Source organism: Homo sapiens, chromosome 7, assembly GCF_000001405.40.
Source record: "Homo sapiens chromosome 7, GRCh38.p14 Primary Assembly".
Taxonomy (NCBI): domain Eukaryota; kingdom Metazoa; phylum Chordata; class Mammalia; order Primates; family Hominidae; genus Homo; species Homo sapiens.
In genome coordinates, this window is record NC_000007.14 from 66,274,723 (window position 1) to 66,295,391 (window position 20,669).

The following is a 20,669-nucleotide window of genomic DNA, read 5'->3' on the forward strand; positions in this document are numbered from 1 at the left end:
AACTCAATTCGGCAAGAAAACAAATCTAAAAAAATGGGCAAAGAACCTGATAGACATTTATCAAAAGAAGACATACAAATGGCCAACAGTTATATGAAAAAAATGCTTAGCATCGCTAATCATCAGAGAAATGCAAATTAAAACTACAGTGTACCTCATACCTGTTAGAATGGCTATTATAAAAAAGATAGGCCAGGTGCAGTGGCTCACACCTGTAATCCCTGCACTTTGGGAGGCCGAGGTGGGTGGATCACGAGGTCAGGAGGTCGAGACCATGCTGGCTAACACGGTGAAACCCCATCTCTACTAAAAATACAAAAAATTAGCCAGGTGTGGTGGCGGGTGCCTGTAGTCCCAGCTACTTGGGAGGCTGAGGCAGGAGAATGGCGTGAACCCGGGAGGCAGAGCTTGCAGTAAGCCAAGATTGAGCCACTGCACTCCAGCCTGGGTGACAGAGCGAGACTCCGTCTCAAAGAAAAAATAAAAAAAAATAAAAAAAGATAACAAGTGTTGGCAAAGATGTGGAGAAAAGGGAGACCTATACACTGTTGGTGAGACTGTAACTTGGTACAGCCGTTATGGAAAACAACATGGAGGTTCCTCAAAAAATTGAAAATAGAGCTACCATATGATCCAGCAATCCCACTACCAGGTATGTACCCAAAGGAATTGAAATCAGAATGTGGTAGATATACCTGCACTCACATGTTCATTACAGCACTATTCACAATAGCCAAGATATCAACCCAAGCATCCATTCACAGATGAATGGATAAAAAGAAAATGCGGCATACATACACAATGGAATACTATTTAGCCTTTAAAAGGAGGAAATCTTGTCATTTGCAACATCGTTAATAAACCTGTAGAACATTATTGTAAATGAAATAAGCCAGGCATGGAAAGACAAATACTTGGGATCTTATTTCTATGTAGAACCTAAAAAAGTCAAATTCATAGAAGCAAGAGTAGAATGGTGGTTACCAGGGCCTGGAGGTTAGAGGAGTGGGGATTAGAGATGTTGGATTAAAGGATATAAAATTTCATTTAGACAGGAAAAATAAGTTCAAGAGATGTATACTGTGGTGACTATAGTTAATAACAGTGTATTCTATACTTGAAAATTGCTGAGACTAGATTTTAAATGTTCTCATGACAAAAAAGTGATTATGTGAGGTAATGCACATGTTAATTAGCTTGATTGAGCCATTTCACCATGTATACATATTTTAAAACATGTTATATATTCAGTTTTCATCAGTTTAAAAAACTTAATTTAAAAAAAAAAAGTTTTGATGTTGAAAAGTCTGATCTAATTTTCTTCTCCTATAGGTAATTTGGATACCTATACTTTGCCTAGATACTCAAATATTTTTTCTTTAAAGTGCAATAATTTTAATATGTTTTGTTGGTCATCATATAGCAGATATTCTCAGATATACCATGTGTTCTGTCAATATATAGATTAAAAAAACTTTTTAAAAATAATGTTTTCTTAAATTTTGGTTTTTAGTATTTGCTGTGTTCCCTTTGATTCTCTTCTTCAAAGACTCCTATTTTTCATTAAAGACTTTTTTTGCCTGTTAATATTTTTCACTTTCTTTTGAATTGTTTTATTTCTTCTTAAATTTTAAAAACATTTCATATATATATATATATGTATTTTTTTGAGGCAGAGCCTCACTTTGTCTCCCAGGCTGGAGTGCAGTGGTGTGATCTCGGCTCATTGCAACCTCTGCCTCCTGGGTTCAAGTGATTCTCCTGCGTCAGCCTCTCAAGTAGCTGCGAGTACAGGCATGTGCCATCATGCCTGGCTAATATCTTCTATTTTCAATTAGTTTAAATTGGAAAGCTTTTAAATCTTTGAAGGCATTCTATTTCACTTATAATTTCTTTTAAGATTCTCTTGTATTTATTAACTCTTGTCTTCCTTCTAGTTTAGTTTATTTTTGTAATGATTTTTCCTTCCATTTCTAAATTCCTGAGCTCTATCACCTTATTTCTAATATGATTTATGTATCATTTTCTCAGTGTCTTTTAGCTTGTTTTAAAATAGTAAGTTACAATTTTAATGTTTTGTGGGCATGTCTTTTTTTCTCTATAGGAATGTTCTTCTTCTTCTCTGTTTTCTTTTAACAACTCTTTATGGTATTTGACCAAATACTTTTTTGTCACTCATTTTTACTGAAAAACAGTTTTCTCAAGCTTTTGGGAGGAGGAATAGTTCAAGCTGTCTTTATTAATTTCATAGCTCTCCATCTCCTGTTTTTTGGTTTTGTTCTGGTAAAGCGTTAAATAATATGGTGGCTTGCTTTCTGAGACTTCCTGACTCCATAGCCTCCCCTCGCTTGTATCGGGGCCTTCTCTTTCCTTTGTCTCTGTCACCATTGTAATTAGCCCAATTCTGATTCTCCTCCCAGAAGTTTCTAATTGCGATGTCCTGTCCTGGAAAGGAGCTTTGGCTGGTTGGTTTCAAGTTCATGTTTCCCATCTTTCTCTGGCCCCTTTGAGAACCTACCAGTGGCCCTTATAGTCACTTTTTGGTTTGATGAAACCCTTCCCAATTTCAACTGGTGTTCTCAAATAGATCTGCTCTGATTTTTAGAGTTTGGTTTATGGCTGCTGTGGTGTTTCCCATTCTCAGTTTTCAGATGCGTTGTTGCTTCTTTTTCTTTCACCACATTAACATTCATTCCATGAGGGGATTGTGGTTACTGTTGGTTGTCTCCACGAACTTGTATTTTGGAGTTTGTGAGCTACTTTGTCATCTAGTTTTGTTGTCCATGGTGTTTTAGTTTTGTTATTGGATTACTTTGCATGTTTTTAGGGAATGATTTGGTGAGATGAAAACTATTCAGAATAGTTTTTTCTATTTGGATGATCTCATCAAATCATCCCCTAAATCTATACAAATCAGGAAATCTATTCAAATAGGAAAAACTATTCTGTGATTACTCAGATTCCCTCTCATTTCCAGTGCCTAGTCACTCTGAGTGACTAGGGAGTCATTGCAGGATTTTGAGCAATGGAGTGACATGACCTGACTGGTGTTTTAAAGGCTCTGTCTGGTGATAGACTGAGAATAGACCATAGAAATGTAGAGGAAGAAGTAGGGGGACCTATTAGAAGAATGTTGCAGAAATAGGCTGGGTGGATCACTTGAGGTCAGGAGTTTGAGACCAGCCTGGCCAACATGGCGAAACCCTGTCTCTACTAAAAATACAAAAATTAGCTGGGTGTGGTAGTGGGTGCCTGTAATCCCAGCTACTCAGGAGGCTGAGGCTGGAGAATTGCTTGAGCCCATGAGGTGGACGTTGCAGTGTGCTGAGATTGTGCCACTGCACTCCAGCCTGGGCAACAAGAATGTGACTCCATCTCAAAAAAAAAAAAAAAAAAAAAAAAAAAAATTGCAGAAATCCAGGTGAGAGATGTTTGCTTGGACTTGGGGAGCAGCAGTGGAGTTAATGAGAAGTGGCCAGATTTGCATATATTTTGAGGTATAGTTGATAAGATTTCCTGATGGATTTGATGTGAAGTATGAGAGAATGTAGTTGAAAAATAACTCTGGTTTTGTCCTGAGCAACTGTAAGAATGGAGTTGCTTTTAACTGAGATTAGAAGGCTGAGGCTGCCGTGCGGGTAAGGTAGACTTTAGGGGTGACATAAAGAGCTCAGTTTGGACTATGTTGAGCTTGAGATAGTTATTAGACTTCTGAGTGAAGATACTCTTCGTGATTCTGCGAGTCCCATGACAGCATGAGGTAAAAAAAGAAAGACATTGGGCCGGGCGCAGTGGCTCACGCCTGTAATCCCAGCACTTTGGGAGGTCGAGGTGGGCGGATCACGAGGTCAGGAGATTGAGACCATCCTAGCTAACACGGTGAAACCCCATTTCTACTAAATATACAAAAAAGTAGCTGGGCTTGGTGGCGGGCGCCTGTAGTCCCAGCTACTGGGAGGCTGAGGCAGGAGAATGGCGTGAACCTGGGAGGCGGAGCTTGCAGGGAGCCGAGATCGCACCACTGCACTCCAGCCCACTGCACTCCAGCCTGGGTGGCAGAACGAGATTCCGTCTCAAAAAAAAAAAAAGTTTATCATAGAAAATTGGAAAATATGGATAAGTTAGGTAAGAAAATAAAAATCATGCTGCATTGTAAACATTCTGATATGATTCTAAACATACATATAACATGCATTTAGAACACATCGCTTTTTTCTTTCCAACTTTTAGGTTCAGGGAGTACATGCACAGGTTTGCTACCGGTAAATTGTCTGTCACGGGGGTTTGGTGTACAGATTGTTTCATCACCCAGGTAATAAGCATAGTACTCTATGGGTAGTTTTTCGATCCTCACCTTCCTCCCACCCTCGACCCTTAAGTAGGCCCAAGCGTCTGTTGTTCCCCTTTGTATCTATGTGTGCTCAGTGCTTAGCTAGCACTTATAAGTGAGAACATGCAGTATTTGGTTTTCTGTTCATGTATTAATTCGCTTAGGATAATGGCCTCCAACTCCATCCATGTTGCTGCAAAGGACACTATTTCATTTTTTTATAGCTGTGTAGTATTCCATGGTGTATATCTACCACATTTTCATCATCCAGTCCACTGTTGTGGGCATTTAGGTTGGTTCCATGTCTTAGCTATTGTGAACAGTGTTGCGATGAACATACAGTTACATGTGTCTTTATAGTAGAACGATTTATATTCCTGTGGGTATATATCCAGTAAGGGGGTTACTGGGTCTAATGGTAGTTCTGAGTTCTTTGAGAAATCTTCGAACTGCTGTCCACAGTGGCTAAACTAATTTACATTCCCACCAGCAGATATAAGCATACTCTTTTCTTTGTTTTGTTTTGTTTTAAAACTAAAGCTTATTCTGGCCAATTTACTCTACTATTTTCTAATAACAGCTCATAGATCAGAAACGGTCTTTGTTTTAAACTTTCCTATCCATATGAAACACAATGATGTTGGGGTAAGAGGGGCCTTTTCTCTAAATGAAAATACAATACTTATTCTGTATAATTCTAGAGGGCCCAGAGATGTGGAAATAATGTATTTGTAAGAATTATATTAAACAATCTTTATTTGATAAATAGTACCTTACAATCCTAATGCTATCTATCAAGCTTCAGTAAGAGCAATTTCAGCATCAAGTAATGAACAGTAGCTAAACTGACAAGAGATCAATCAAAAGGGCTTTAAATGGAGCAGCACCAGCTGATGTGCTGCTAAGGCTCTGGGCATTCAGGACTCTCCTATGGGGAAAACGGAATCAAACCAGCAGGTGCTCTGGACCTAAGCCTTCACATCGTGACCTGCCTCCCTCCTGGGGGTGTGGTGGCCCACAGTCCCCCTGGCATTTCTCGGCCCTTGTGGGCTGCAGACGGAAATCCTGGCACCAAAGGACAGCTTGGGAAAGGCTGAAACTTGACCTCACAGTCAGCTGGCTTCTGCCTATTGTGGTCATTTTCTTTCCAGAGCACCTAGAGCACTCGCACAGTGGACGTGGAAGCCACCCAGCATTCTTGGGCTGTTTTCTCATAGAAGAGGACCTTCCTCTAAGCATTGGAAGCGTCTTTCTCCAATTCCTGGGCCAGATCTTGGGCCATCTTCTTGTAGGTCATGGGTCTGACACACATGGTTCAAGTTTTCGTGGCTATTGTGAATGGGATTGTGTTTTTGATTTAGCTCTCAGCTCGGATATTGTTGGTGTATGGAAATGCTATTTTTGTACAATGATTTTGTATCCTGAAACTTTACTGAAGTTGTTTATCAGATCTAGAAGCTTTTGGGCAGAGACTGTGGGGTTTTCTAGGTATAAAGTCATATCGTCTGCAAATATGGAAGATAGTTGACTTCCACTCTTCCTGGATGCCTTTATTTTTCTTACTACTCTATCTAGGACTTCCAGTACTGTGTTGAGTAGGAGTGGTGAGAGAGGGCATCCTGGTCTTATTCTGGTTCTCAATGGGAATACTTCCAGTATGGTATGCTTCCAGCAGCACATCAACTGGTGCTGCTCCCTTTAAAGCACTTTTGATTGATTTCTTGTTAGTTTAGCTATTGTTCATTACTTGATGCTGAAATTGCTCTTATTGAAGTTTGATAGATAGCATTAGAATTGTAAGGTACTATTTATCAAATAAAGATTGTTTAATATAATTCTTACAAATACATAATTTCCACATCTGTGGGCCCTCCAGAACATTTCAGCATGTTCTGGATGTTGGCTGTGGGTTTGTCATAGATATCACTTATTGTTTTGAGGTATGTTCCTTCGATGCCTAGCTTGTTGAGAGTTTTTAACATGAAGGGATGCTGAATTTTATTGAAAGCATTTTCTGTGTCTATCGAGATGATCATGTAGTTTTTGTCTTTAGTTCTGTTTATGTGATGAATCACATTTATTGGTTTGTGTATGTTGAACCCACCTTGCATCCCAGGGATAAAGCCTACTTGATTGTGGTGGATTAGCTTTTGATGTGCTTCTAGTCTCTGTTTCCTAGTATTTTTGTTGAGGATTTTTGCATCTGTGTTCATCAGGGATATTGGCCTGAAGTTTTCTTTTTTTGTTGTATCTCTGATAGGTTTTGGTGTCAGAATGATGCTGACCTCATAGAATAAGTTGGCAAGGAGTCCCTCTTCCTGAATTTTTGGGAATAGTTTCAGTAGGTTTGGTACAAGGTCTTCTTTATACATCTGATAGAGTTTGGTTATGAATCCCTCCTGTCTAGGGCTTTTTCTGGTTGGTAGGTTTTTTAGTACTAATTCAATTTAGGAACTCATTATTGGTCTGTAGAACACATTTTCACAAAGTTGAATTTCTATTGTATATACATTTTAAAATCTTCTTTCACAAGACATGACCTGAGCATTTTCTAATAGTGAAAGTCTTTGAAAACATGGTTTTTAATGGTATTTCATTACATGTTTTACTGTAATAAACCTAACCACTTGGATTATGTACTCTTTCACTCATTCCTTTTTGCATATCTGTTCCATCCCCTATGCTTTAATATGGAGGATTTGGTTTCTTGTAGTAGTTGCTGGGTATCATAATTCAGACCTGTGGTTTGGCAGTCAGCCTGGCTGTAGTGTTTAACTGAGTCTCGTGGAAGATCCATGCTTAAAATGAATGTCGTGGAGAATTGTATTCACCTCAGTCATTCAAGACTTTGGCATAGACCCCATTCCTTGAGGAGGAGTTGCCGCCACTGTGACTGCCACAGACGGAAGGAAGCCTGGGCAGTTGGGACTGGGGAGAACTTGCTGAGTCACAGATATCTTGTCTCAGTGTGCATGGGCCGTGTGTATTGAAATGTACCAGTCTGTGAGGCACTATGTTTTGAGGTCTCAGTAAGCTAAAGGGGTGTAGAATGGTATCTAGTTCATACCGTAGTATGCTTTAGATCTAAGTGTTGGTTAATTCTGTAAGGACTGAAGGAATAGGGGAGATTTAATGAGCTCCTTGCAGTCTGCAGGTTATTATCGAGAAAAGAAAATTAGGCTCTCAGTTCCAGGCCCATTTCCCTCTAATCACTGTGTCCTTTTGAACAAAAGTTGGCAAACTTTTTCTGTAAAGGGCCAGATATTTTTAGCTTTGCAGGCCATATGATTTCTGTTGTAAGCATTGAGCTCTTCTGTTATAGAGCAAAAGCAGCCATAGGCAGTACAGGAACAAATGGCCATGGTTATGTTCTAGTAAAACTTTATTTACATAACAGGCAGCAGGCCAGATTGGAGCAATAGTTGTCAACTCCTGCTTTGAAAATGTTTTGGAAACTGTGTCTCCGTCTGTTAGTGGTCATTATCCTCAGTCTCTTAGGATCAGAGTTTTTCTTAGATTACAAAACTGGATCATACAGACCTGACTTCCAGGTCTGCGTTCTCTCCACTACACTTTGCTGCCTCTTAGAAAAACATAAGCTAAATAACTAGAACCCATGGAAAGAGGGAAAAGTGAAGCCCAGAGAGCTGATGCGGGACTAAGAGGCAACTCTGAGAGTTTCAATGTGGAATGTTTGTGTGGCTCCCCAACCAGACCGTGACCTCCTTGAAGATTGGGACTGCATCGTATCTTGTTCTCATTTTCTATTTTATTTTAATGATCTATCCTTTGGGTTGAACGAATGTGTTTCTTGAACCCGATAAGTGCAACACTGAGTAAACACTTGTTTCTTTTCTCCCTTCCATCCTCCCAACTTAGTAGCTTCAATACATTCTTAGCTCTCCTCACTTGCTATTCTCTAACCATACCACGTGGCTGGGCACGGTGGCTCATGCCTGTAGTCCCAGCACTTTGGGAAGCCGAGGTGGGCAGATCACCTGAGGTCAGGAGTTCAAGACCAGCCTGGCCAATGTGGCAAAACCCCACTAAAAATACAAAAATTAACTGGGTATGGTGGTGGCCTGTAATCCCCAGCTACTCAGGAGGCTGAGGCAGGAGAATCGCTTGAACCCAGGAGGCAGAGGTTATAGTGTGCTGAGATTGCGTCACTGCACTCCAGCCTGGGTGACAGAGCAAGAGTCCGTCTCAAAAAACAAAAACAAAAAAAACCCCAGGTTATCTCCATGAATGTGAATATTGATGTGGTCCTTCTGTCAGGAAGACATCACCTGAGACCACACACAGAAAGCCTATTTTTCCTTAGGATACAGTCCTACATCAGGGTTGACAAAGTTTTTTTGTAAGGGTTAGATAGTAAATATTTTAGATTTTGCAAGCCATATGGTCTCTTCCTCAGCTACTCAACTCTGCCGTTGTACTACAAGAGCAGCCATAGACAATCTATACATGAATGAGTGTGGCTGTGTTCCAGTAAACTTTACTTATGGATATTGATACTCAGATTTCACATGATTTTCATGTGTAATGAAATGTGATTATTTTTATTTAAAACATTAAAAATGTAAAAGCCATTTTTTGCTTGCAGGCCAGACAAAAACAGGCAGTGTGAGTCAATTTAATTTAATGTGTGACTCATAGATGCTAACCCTTGCCTTAGCTGCTTAGTAACTTGCCCTAGTCATGTGTTACCCCATGAAAAGAATGGCCTACTTCTGTCATATTGTCTCTAACCTCTGTCATTTCATTTATGATGCTATGTATTATGTGTACCTTTGTCTCTCTTGCTGGATTCTGAGTATCTTGAGAGGTAGGCCATGGCCTAGTCAGTCATCTTTGTATCCTTAATATCAAACCCACATAGTGGGTATTTAAGAAGTGACTGTTGAATTTGAATTTTATGCTTGATATATATAAAATGTCATTTCTGCTGATCTTAAAGAGAAACACTTGACTGATATGCATAGGTTTCCCATGTTCTTCCCCTTGAGAGGCCATAGTTAACTGCATTTGCTGCTAGCGGCTCTTGTAAACTCAGTGGTTATACAGCAAAGCCTTTGCAAAGTCTTTTATTTTAGAGCTCTTTTTCAGACAAGAAATGATTATACTTTTTCTTCAAATCATTTATTCAATCATAATGATAAATATGGCTTTCACTATTCTGATGAAGCAGAGCTACCATCAGTGTGAAATAATAATAGCCGTTGTTTAGTGAGCATCTACTACATTCCAGTCAATTCAGATTTTTTCTCTAGATTTTTGGTGACCTTCTGATTACTATTAATTTACATTTTTTTTATTGTTCTCTACATGTCAAACAAAACAAAGCAACAATATCAAAAACCCACATGCTTTTTCTTCATACTGTCTATATTATTGAATGACAGACAAACATCTGTCCTTCAAGTCAAATATTAATTAATCATAGACTCCTTTCTCTTTTTCTTCACCCCGCCTTATCTAATTGGCCACTGTCTTAGCTTTTTTTTTTTTTTTTTTTTTTAAAGATGGAGTCTTACCCTGTTGCCTAGTCTGGAGTGCAGTGGTGTGATCTCGGTTCACCGCAACCTCCATCTCCTGGGTTCAAGCAATTCTCCTGCCTCAGCCTCCCAAGTAGCTGGGATTACAGACATGCACCACCACACCTGGCTAATTTTTGTATTTTTAGTAGAGATGGGATTTCGCCATGTTGGCCAGGATGGTCTCGAACTCCTGACCTCAAATAATCCACCCACTTTGGTCTCCCAGTGTCTTAGCAGTTTTAAAAATTATCTTTGGAATTTGTCTCATCTCTATTTCTAATTCATTTAATCTAATTGAAGCCTTAATCATTTCTTTTCTTCCAACATGTTGAGCATCTGTTCTGATTTTCCTGACCCCACTTGCCTCATTCTCCAATTATTCTTCCCATAGTTATCAGCACTGAATGCTAATAATAATACTTTGTTCATATCAGTTGTTATTAAAACTCTTCACTTATTCCTTATTATCTTCAAGGTAAGCCCAGCTTCCCAGTCATGACATACAAGACTCTATGTGTGACCCCAATACTTAACACAGATGTGTTTCAGAATTCAGAATTTTTTGGATTTTAGAAAAGTAATACAGTTTATGCAATACATATATAACATCCTCTGCTCATTCCTGAACACTGATGGGAGTGAATGGCAGGTGCTTTTAATAATTACGCTGAGGTAAATTATGCTAGGTGTAAACTGGACCTGTCCTGGGCAAACGAGGATGTTCTTTACACAGTTTAAGAATGTCAAGCAAAGAACATTAGGGATGAAGCAATACAGGGAGAATAGATAGAGTGAAGGGAGCAGTGGGTTAAGTGGAGTCCTGGAGAAATATTTGAAAAGGGAGAAAGGAATGTGGCTCCTGAGGTAGGAGGGAAACCTGGAGCAGGTAGCCCCACAGAAGCCCAGGGAAGAGGCATTGTTTTTCTATTATTTTGGAAGCAGATCCCCTTTAGGAGACTCCTCATCAGATAATGATTATTCACTAAGAGGTTATATTCTTAATTAAAAGGGCCTTTACCTTTTCTTAGAATACTATGTTTGAATAACTTTTTATGTATTACGATATAAAAGTCTCTTTTAAGCATTTCTGTTTTATAGTCATTTGGCCAAAATCTAATTCAGATCCAGCTTAAATCCAAATGTCATTTGATGCTACATTTTATCCTGAGGTTGCTAGTTATTTAGTCAAATATAGTGAGTATAATCACTACAGGCTTAGAGTAAATTTCCATGTCAAGAGGTAGAACACATTTATTCTGTAATATTGAATCCTGTAATATTGAAAATCAAAAACAGCCCTTTTTTTTCTTCTGTAGAAAATAAGATTTTTAAGGAAGGCAGCAGGAAAATAGAACAAGTGAATATTTTACGTTCTTAGTGGTTTATGGTTGGCAGTTTTCCCCCAACATTTTGTTACGAAAAGTTAAAATGTACAGAAGAATTGAAAGACTTATACCCACCAGCTAGATTGTGCCATTAACATGTTGCTGTATTTACTTTATCACTGTCCATCTCTCTGACCATCTATTTGTCCCTCTTTCCATCCATCAGTCTGTCTTTTTTTTGGTAAGCATTTCAAGTAAGTTGACTGACAATTTTTCTAAGCAGCTGTATCTTTATTTTGTTACTGTTTTTTTCCTGGATGTTGTAATTACAGTGTCAAGACATTTAATAATGCACATGTTTCAGCTAACCCTTTTCCCAATTTCTAGAAATCTGAGATTGCCAATAATCCCTGTCAATCTTAAATTATTTTTTAATTCTGGTAAATAGTGTCAAACCTGATTAGTGCCCTCTTTCTCAATTGTTTTGTAATCCAGACAACTGTTAGTCATTAAAACATAATTTATAGTGGTTTTAAAGCATGATTTTCTAAAAAATTTTAAATAAATATTTATTCATATTATGTTGTTTTCAGAGTGGAGAGATCTACAGACCAAGTAATCAAGCCAGTCAATGTAGGAGCTCTATCAAAATGGGTTGGGAAGATACCGCCAGATGTTTTACAAGACATGGCAGTGATTGCTCCTATGCTTGCCAAGCTTGGATATGACCCATATGCCAACCCACCTAACTACGGAAAACCTGATCCCAAAATTATTGAAAACACTCGAAGGGTAAGTGAGATTTTTTAAAGCAACTGAGAAAACTAGATTTTGAATTTGGGATCTGAATACGTTTTTTTCTTATTTTATTTCTTGCTATTTAATGATCAGAAAAATATATTTTTTTTTTTTTTCATTTATTTTTATTTTATTTTATTTTATTTTTTTTATTATACTCTAAGTTTTAGGGTACATGTGCACATTGTGCAGGTTAGTTACATATGTATACATGTGCCATGCTGGTGCGCTGCACCCACTAATGTGTCATCTAGCATTAGGTATATCTCCCAATACTATCCCTCCCCCCTCCCCCAACCCCACCACAGTCCCCAGAGTGTGATATTCCCCTTCCTGTGTCCATGTGATCTCATTGTTCAATTCCCACCTATGAGTGAGAATATGCGGTGTTTGGTTTTTTGTTCTTGCAATAGTTTACTGAGAATGATGGTTTCCAGTTTCATCCATGTCCCTACAAAGGATATGAACTCATCATTTTTTATGGCTGCATAGTATTCCATGGTGTATATGTGCCACATTTTCTTAATCCAGTCTATCATTGTTGGACATTTGGGTTGGTTCCAAGTCTTTGCTATTGTGAATAGTGCCGCAATAAACATACGTGTGCATGTGTCTTTATAGCAGCATGATTTATACTCATTTGGGTATATACCCAGTAATGGGATGGCTGGGTCAAATGGTATTTCTAGTTCTAGATCCCTGAGGAATCGCCACACTGACTTCCACAATGGTTGAACTAGTTTACAGTCCCACCAACAGTGTAAAAGTGTTCCTATTTCTCCGCATCCTCTCCAGCACCTGTTGTTTCCTGACTTTTTAATGATTGCCATTCTACCTGGTGTGAGATGATATCTCATAGTGGTTTTGATTTGCATTTCTCTGATGGCCAGTGATGATGAGCATTTCTTCATGGTTTTTTGGCTGCATAAATGTCTTCTTTTGAGAAGTGTCTGTTCATGTCCTTCGCCCACTTTTTGATGGGGTTGTTTGTTTTTTTCTTGTAAATTTGTTTGAGTTCATTGTAGATTCTGGATATTAGCCCTTTGTCAGATGAGTAGGATGCGAAAATTTTCTCCCATGTTGTAGGTTGCCTGTTCACTCTGATGGTAGTTTCTTTTGCTGTGCAGAAGCTCTTTAGTTTAATTAGATCCCATTTGTCAATTTTGTCTTTTGTTGCCATTGCTTTTGGTGTTTTGGACATGAAGTCCTTGCCCACGCCTATGTCCTGAATGGTAATGCCTAGGTTTTCTTCTAGGGTTTTTATGGTTTTAGGTTTAACGTTTAAATCTTTAATCCATCTTGAATTGATTTTTGTATAAGGTGTAAGGAAGGGATCCAGTTTCAGCTTTCTACATATGGCTAGCCAGTTTTCCCAGCACCATTTATTAAATAGGGAATCCTTTCCCCATTGCTTGTTTTTCTCAGGTTTGTCAAAGATCAGATAGTTGTAGATATGCGGCATTATTTCTGAGGGCTCTGTTCTGTTCCATTGATCTATATCTCTGTTTTGGTACCAGTACCATGCTGTTTTGGTTACTGTAGCCTTGTAGTATAGTTTGAAGTCAGGTAGTGTGATGCCTCCAGCTTTGTTCTTTTGGCTTAGGATTGACTTGGCAATGCGGGCTCTTTTTTGGTTCCATATGAACTTTAAAGTAGTTTTTTCCAATTCTGTGAAGAAAGTCATTGGTAGCTTGATGGGGATGGCATTGAATCTGTAAATTACCTTGGGCAGTATGGCCATTTTCACGATATTGATTCTTCCTACCCATGAGCATGGAATGTTCTTCCATTTGTTTGTGTCCTCTTTTATTTCCTTGAGCAGTGGTTTGTAGTTCTCCTTGAAGAGGTCCTTCACATCCCTTGTAAGTTGGATTCCTAGGTATTTTATTCTCTTTGAAGCAATTGTGAATGGGAGTTCACCCATGATTTGGCTCTCTGTTTGTCTGTTGTTGGTGTATAAGAATGCTTGTGATTTTTGTACATTGATTTTGTATCCTGAGACTTTGCTGAAGTTGCTTATCAGCTTAAGGAGATTTTGGGCTGAGACGATGGGGTTTTCTAGATAAACAATCATGTCGTCTGCAAACAGGGACAATTTGACTTCCTCTTTTCCTAATTGAATACCCTTTATTTCCTTCTCCTGCCTGATTGCCCTGGCCAGAACTTCCAACACTATGTTGAATAGGAGCAGTGAGAGAGGGCATCCCTGTCTTGTGCCAGTTTTCAAAGGGAATGCTTCCAGTTTTTGCCCATTCAGTATGATATTGGCTGTGGGTTTGTCATAGATAGCTCTTATTATTTTGAGATACGTCCCATCAATACCTAATTTATTGAGAGTTTTTAGCATGAAGGGTTGTTGAATTTTGTCAAAGGCCTTTTCTGCATCTATTGAGATAATCATGTGGTTTTTGTCTTTGGCTCTGTTTATATGCTGGATTACATTTATTGATTTGTGTATATTGAACCAGCCTTGCATCCCAGGGATGAAGCCCACCTGATCATGGTGGATAAGCTTTTTGATGTGCTGCTGGATTCAGTTTGCCAGTATTTTATTGAGGATTTTTGCATCAATGTTCATCAAGGATATTGGTCTAAAATTCTCTTTTTTGGTTGTGTCTCTGCCTGGCTTTGGTATCAGAATGATGCTGGCCTCATAAAATGAGTTAGGGAGGATTCCCTCTTTTTCTATTGATTGGAATAGTTTCAGAAGGAATGGTACCAGTTCCTCCTTGTACCTCTGGTAGAATTCGGCTGTGAATCCATCTGGTCCTGGACTCTTTTTGGTTGGTAAACTATTGATTATTGCCACAATTTCAGAGCCTGTTATTGGTCTATTCAGAGATTCAACTTCTTCCTGGTTTAGTCTTGGGAGAGTGTATGTGTCGAGGAATGTATCCATTTCTTCTAGATTTTCTAGTTTATTTGCGTAGAGGTGTTTGTAGTATTCTCTGATGGTAGTTTGTATTTCTGTGGGATCGGTGGTGATATCCCCTTTATCATTTTTTATTGTGTCTATTTGATTCTTCTCTCTTTTTTTCTTTATTAGTCTTGCTAGCGGTCTATCAATTTTGTTGATCCTTTCAAAAAACCAGCTCCTGGATTCATTGATTTTTTGAAGGGTTTTTTGTGTCTCTATTTCCTTCAGTTCTGCTCTGATTTTAGTTATTTCTTGCCTTCTGCTAGCTTTTGAATGTGTTTGCTCTTGCTTTTCTAGTTCTTTTAATTGTGATGTTAGGGTGTCAATTTTGGATCTTTCCTGCTTTCTCTTGTAGGCATTTAGTGCTATAAATTTCCCTCTACACACTGCTTTGAATGCGTCCCAGAGATTCTGGTATGTGGTGTCTTTGTTCTCGTTGGTTTCAAAGAACATCTTTATTTCTGCCTTCATTTCGTTATGTACCCAGTAGTCATTCAGGAGCAGGTTGTTCAGTTTCCATGTAGTTGAGCGGCTTTGAGTGAGATTCTTAATCCTGAGTTCTAGTTTGATTGCACTGTGGTCTGAGAGACAGTTTGTTATAATTTCTGTTCTTTTACATTTGCTGAGGAGAGCTTTACTTCCAACTATGTGGTCAATTTTGGAATAGGTGTGGTGTGGTGCTGAAAAAAATGTATATTCTGTTGATTTGGGGTGGAGAGTTCTGTAGATGTCTATTAGGTCTGCTTGGTGCAGAGCTGAGTTCAATTCCTGGGTATCCTTGTTGACTTTCTGTCTCGTTGATCTGTCTAATATTGACAGTGGGGTGTTAAAGTCTTCCATTATTAATGTGTGGGAGTCTAAGTCTCTTTGTAGGTCACTGAGGACTTGCTTTATGAATCTGGGTGCTCCTGTATTGGGTGCATAAATATTTAGGATAGTTAGCTCCTCTTGTTGAATTGATCCCTTTACCATTATGTAATGGCCTTCTTTGTCTCTTTTGATCTTTGTTGGTTTAAAGTCTGTTTTATCAGAGACTAGGATTGCAACCCCTGCCTTTTTTTGTTTTCCATTTGCTTGGTAGATCTTCCTCCATCCTTTTATTTTGAGCCTATGTGTGTCTCTGCACGTGAGATGGGTTTCCTGAATACAGCACACTGATGGGTCTTGACTCTTTATCCACCTTGCCAGTCTGTGTCTTTTAATTGCAGAATTTAGTCCATTTATATTTAAAGTTAATATTGTTATGTGTGAATTTGATCCTGTCATTATGATGTTAGCTGGTGATTTTGCTCATTAGTTGATGCAGTTTCTTCCTAGTCTCGATGGTCTTTACATTTTGGCATGATTTTGCAGCGGCTGGTACCGGTTGTTCCTTTCCATGTTTAGCGCTTCCTTCAGGAGCTCTTTTAGGGCAGGCCTGGTGGTGACAAAATCTCTCAGCATTTGCTTGTCTATAAAGTATTTTATTTCTCCTTCACTTATGAAGCTTAGTTTGGCTGGATATGAAATTCTGGGTTGAAAATTCTTTTCTTTAAGAATGTTGAATATTGGCCCCCACTCTCTTCTGGCTTGTAGGGTTTCTGCCGAGAGATCCGCTGTTAGTCTGATGGGCTTTCCTTTGAGGGTAACCCGACCTTTCTCTCTGGCTGCCCTTAACATTTTTTCCTTCATTTCAACTTTGGTGAATCTGACAATTATGTGTCTTGGAGTTGCTCTTCTCGAGGAGTATCTTTGTGGCGTTCTCTGTATTTCCTGAATCTGAACGTTGGCCTGCCTTGCTAGATTGGGGAAGTTCTCCTGGATAATATCCTGCAGAGTGTTTTCCAACTTGGTTCCATTCTCCACATCACTTTCAGGTACACCAATCAGACGTAGATTTGGTCTTTTCACATAGTCCCATATTTCTTGGAGGCTTTGCTCATTTCTTTTTATTCTTTTTTCTCTAAACTTCCCTTCTCGCTTCATTTCATTCATTTCATCTTCCATTGCTGATACCCTTTCTTCCAGTTGATCGCATCGGCTCCTGAGGCTTCTGCATTCTTCACGTAGTTCTCGAGCCTTGGTTTTCAGCTCCATCAGCTCCTTTAAGCACTTCTCTGTATTGGTTATTCTAGTTATACATTCTTCTAAATTTTTTTCAAAGTTTTCAACTTCTTTGCCTTTGGTTTGAATGTCCTCCCGTAGCTCAGAGTAATTTGATCGTCTGAAGCCTTCTTCTCTCAGCTCGTCAAAATCATTCTCCATCCAGCTTTGTTCTGTTGCTGGTGAGGAACTGCGTTCCTTTGGAGGAGGAGAGGCGCTCTGCGTTTTAGAGTTTCCAGTTTTTCTGTTCTGTTTTTTCCCCATCTTTGTGGTTTTATCTACTTTTGGTCTTTGATGATGGTGATGTACAGATGGGTTTTCGGTGTAGATGTCCTTTCTGGTTGTTAGTTTTCCTTCTAACAGACAGGACCCTCAGCTGCAGGTCTGTTGGAATACACTGCCGTGTGAGGTGTCAGTGTGCCCCTGCTGGGGGGTGCCTCCCAGTTAGGCTGCTCGGGGGTCAGGGGTCAGGGACCCACTTGAGGAGGCAGTCTGCCCGTTCTCAGATCTCCAGCTGCGTGCTGGGAGAACCACTGCTCTCTTCAAAGCTGTCAGACAGGGACACTTAAGTCTGCAGAGGTTACTGCTGTCTTTTTGTTTGTCTGTGCCCTGCCCCCAGAGGTGGAGCCTACAGAGGCAGGCAGGCCTCCTTGAGCTGTGGTGGGCTCCACCCAGTTCGAGCTTCCCGGCTGCTTTGTTTACCTAAGCAAGCCTGGGCAATGGCGGGCGCCCCTCCCCCAGCCTCGCTGCCGCCTTGCAGTTTGATCTCAGACTGCTGTGCTAGCAATCAGCGAGATTCCGTGGGCGTAGGACCCTCTGAGCCAGGTGTGGGATATAGTCTCGTGGTGCGCCGTTTCTTAAGCCAGTCTGAAAAGCGCAATATTTGGGTGGGAGTGACCCGATTTTCCAGGTGCGTCCGTCACCCCTTTCTTTGACTCGGAAAGGGAACTCCCTGACCCCTTGCGCTTCCCAGGTGAGGCAATGCCTCGCCCTGCTTCGGCTCGCGCACGGTGCGCACACACACTGGCCTGCGCCCACTGTCTGGCACTCCCTAGTGAGATGAACCCGGTACCTCAGATGGAAATGCAGAAATCACCCGTCTTCTGCGTCGCTCACGCTGGGAGCTGTAGACCGGAGCTGTTCCTATTCGGCCATCTTGGCTCCTCCTCCCCCAGAAAAATATTTTGAATTAGAAAAATTTGGGCCTAGTGGCCTGGCACGCTGGCTCATGCCTGTAATCCCAGCACTTTGGGAGGTCGAGGCGGGTGGATCACAAGGTCAGGAGATCGAGACCATCCTGGCTAACACGGTGAAACCCCTTCTCTACTAAATACACAAAAAATTAGCCAGGCGTGGTGGTGGGCGCCTGTAGTCCCAGCTACTTGGGAGGCTGTGGCAGGAGAATGGCATGAACCCGGGAGGCAGAGCTTGCAGTGAGTAGAGATCACGCCACTGCACTCCAGCCTGGATGACAGAGCGAGACTCCATCTCAAAAAAAAAAAAGAAAAACTTGGGCCCAGCATAGGGCTGACACCTGTAGTTTCAGCACTTTGGAAGGCCGAGATGCGAGTGAGCCCAGGATTTCAAGACTAGCCTGGGCAACATAGTGAGACCCCCATCTCTACAAAGAATATAAAAATTATCCAGGCATGGTGGCACATGACTCTAGTCCCAGCTACTTGGGAGGCTGAGGTGGGAGGATTGATTGAGCCTGAGAGGTCAAGGCTGCAGTGAGCTGAGAGTATGCCACTGTACTGTAGCCTGGGTGACAGAGCAAGACCCCGTCTCAAAATAAGAAAAAAGAATGAAGAAAAATTATATTTGTAGAATGCTTTCTTATCAGCAGTCTTCCACTGCATTTTAAGGATAACTGGCTCGTTGGGGATAGTTCTTAGGGTATTTTGCTCAGTTTCTAGGAATGATACTCACTGTTGGGAGATTTATTCTCAGCCAATTACTGCAGATCTGCATAAACACCATAATTATTAGTGACCTTACTTCTGATTTCTTTCTTTCTGTAAATCTAATAGCCACTTTACTTTTAAACCTTTGTTTAGATGAGGCATAATTTTTGGATACCTAAAAGCTAAACATTGGTTACACTAGAAAAATTATTAAACACTAGCCTTCTGATTAAGAGAAAGTTGCTATTAAAGTGACATTACAGTTTTTATTTTAATAAGTTATGCTCACGTCTTTACAATATATTATTTCAGAAAGTGCTGAAAATTCAGAGCTAGATTATATAGCCTACCAGTTGAGTCTATTTCAAATCAGATCTTATACATTCTTTTCTTTATTGCAGTAAGATATATTTAACATAAAATTTACCACTCTGACACTTTTTAAAGTGCACAATTCAGTGGCATTAAATACATTCACATTGTTGTGCAACTGTCACCACCGTCCATCTCCAGAACATTTTTTGTCTTCCCAAACTGAAATTCTGTACCCATACTCTTCATTGCCTGGTCCCTGTCAACTGCAGTTTTTTGTGTCACTTGTATATATTCTTTTTTGAAACTACATTTCAAATAAGACAACCATGCTAGCATAAGTTCACTGATAGGCTATTTGATTCCAAGGTGAAAATTCCTTGGCTTTGTCTGATATTCTCTTGTTTATATCAGTGTCCTTCCCTCCCTACAACCATATAACCGTATCATGTTTTTATTCTGTCTTTTGATAACTTTAATTGACAAATTTATGCCACATTTATTTCATGAGATTAATTTCTATGTGAATTCCTTTCTCTTAGGTATTACTTTTATTTCCCCTTTTCAATTCATTATTAGCAGCTATATGGGAAGAGCTGCCTTCTTGTAAACCATCACATATGAGGGCAAATTAAAAAAAACAATAATCGCTATCCTCTTTACACTTTTTATATATATATAAATATTTCCATTATAAAAATATAAGCTCATTATATGAAACTTACAAAATTCAAAGGATAAGAGAATAAAAATCACCTGTAATGTTCCCACCTAGACACATACACATATTATTCTTTTTTATTTTCTTATTTATTTACACATATTATTCTTAATATTTTGATGTATTTTCTCTCCTCTGCATTATGTTAAACAAAGGTAAGATTACGTATATCATCTTACCTTTATATACACAGTTTTGTATCCAGTCCTTTTAATATTCACGAGCATTTTCCCATTGTGTGCATGCTTTTTAAACATAATTTTTATAGTTATAAACCTTCATAGAAGCCACCTTAAATTCTTTCTGAAGCACAGTAGTAAATGAATGAATAAATCAACAAACAAAATACATTTCCCTGGTAGATGTTCTACAATTGATTTTACCATTTTGTTGTTTACCGTTTTCTCTTTGACAAATTGTGCTGCAGTGAACATCTTTGCAGATACTCAATTTTAGGATTTTTTTTTTAAGGTAGGATCAATAAAAATAGAACTAAACCAGGGTAAAGTATCTGAGATTTTTAAAAGGTGTTTGATATCTATTGATACTAAAAAACCTTTGGGCTGGCCACAGTGGCTCACGCCTGTAATCCCAGCATTTTGGGAGGCTGAGGTGGGTGGATCACTTGAGCTCAGGAGTTCAAGACCAGCCTGGACAATGTGGCAAAACCCCATCTCTACAAAAAATACAAAAGTTAGCCAGGTGTGGTGGCACATGCCTCTGGTTTCAGCTGCTTGGGA

General features: G+C 39.5%; 1 protein-coding gene across 13 annotated transcripts in view; it reads left to right on the forward strand.

Moving 5' to 3' along the window:
* The window catches only part of TPST1 (tyrosylprotein sulfotransferase 1), a 161,654-nt gene that overhangs the window by 75,933 nt on the left and 65,052 nt on the right, over positions 1 to 20,669 (forward strand). For all 13 annotated transcript variants that reach the window (XM_047420959.1, XM_047420957.1, XM_047420960.1 and 10 more), the window contains exon 3: positions 11,789 to 11,987. In XM_047420959.1, coding sequence (XP_047276915.1) covers positions 11,789 to 11,987 — 199 coding nt within the window. The remainder of the gene's footprint in view (positions 1 to 11,788; positions 11,988 to 20,669) is intronic.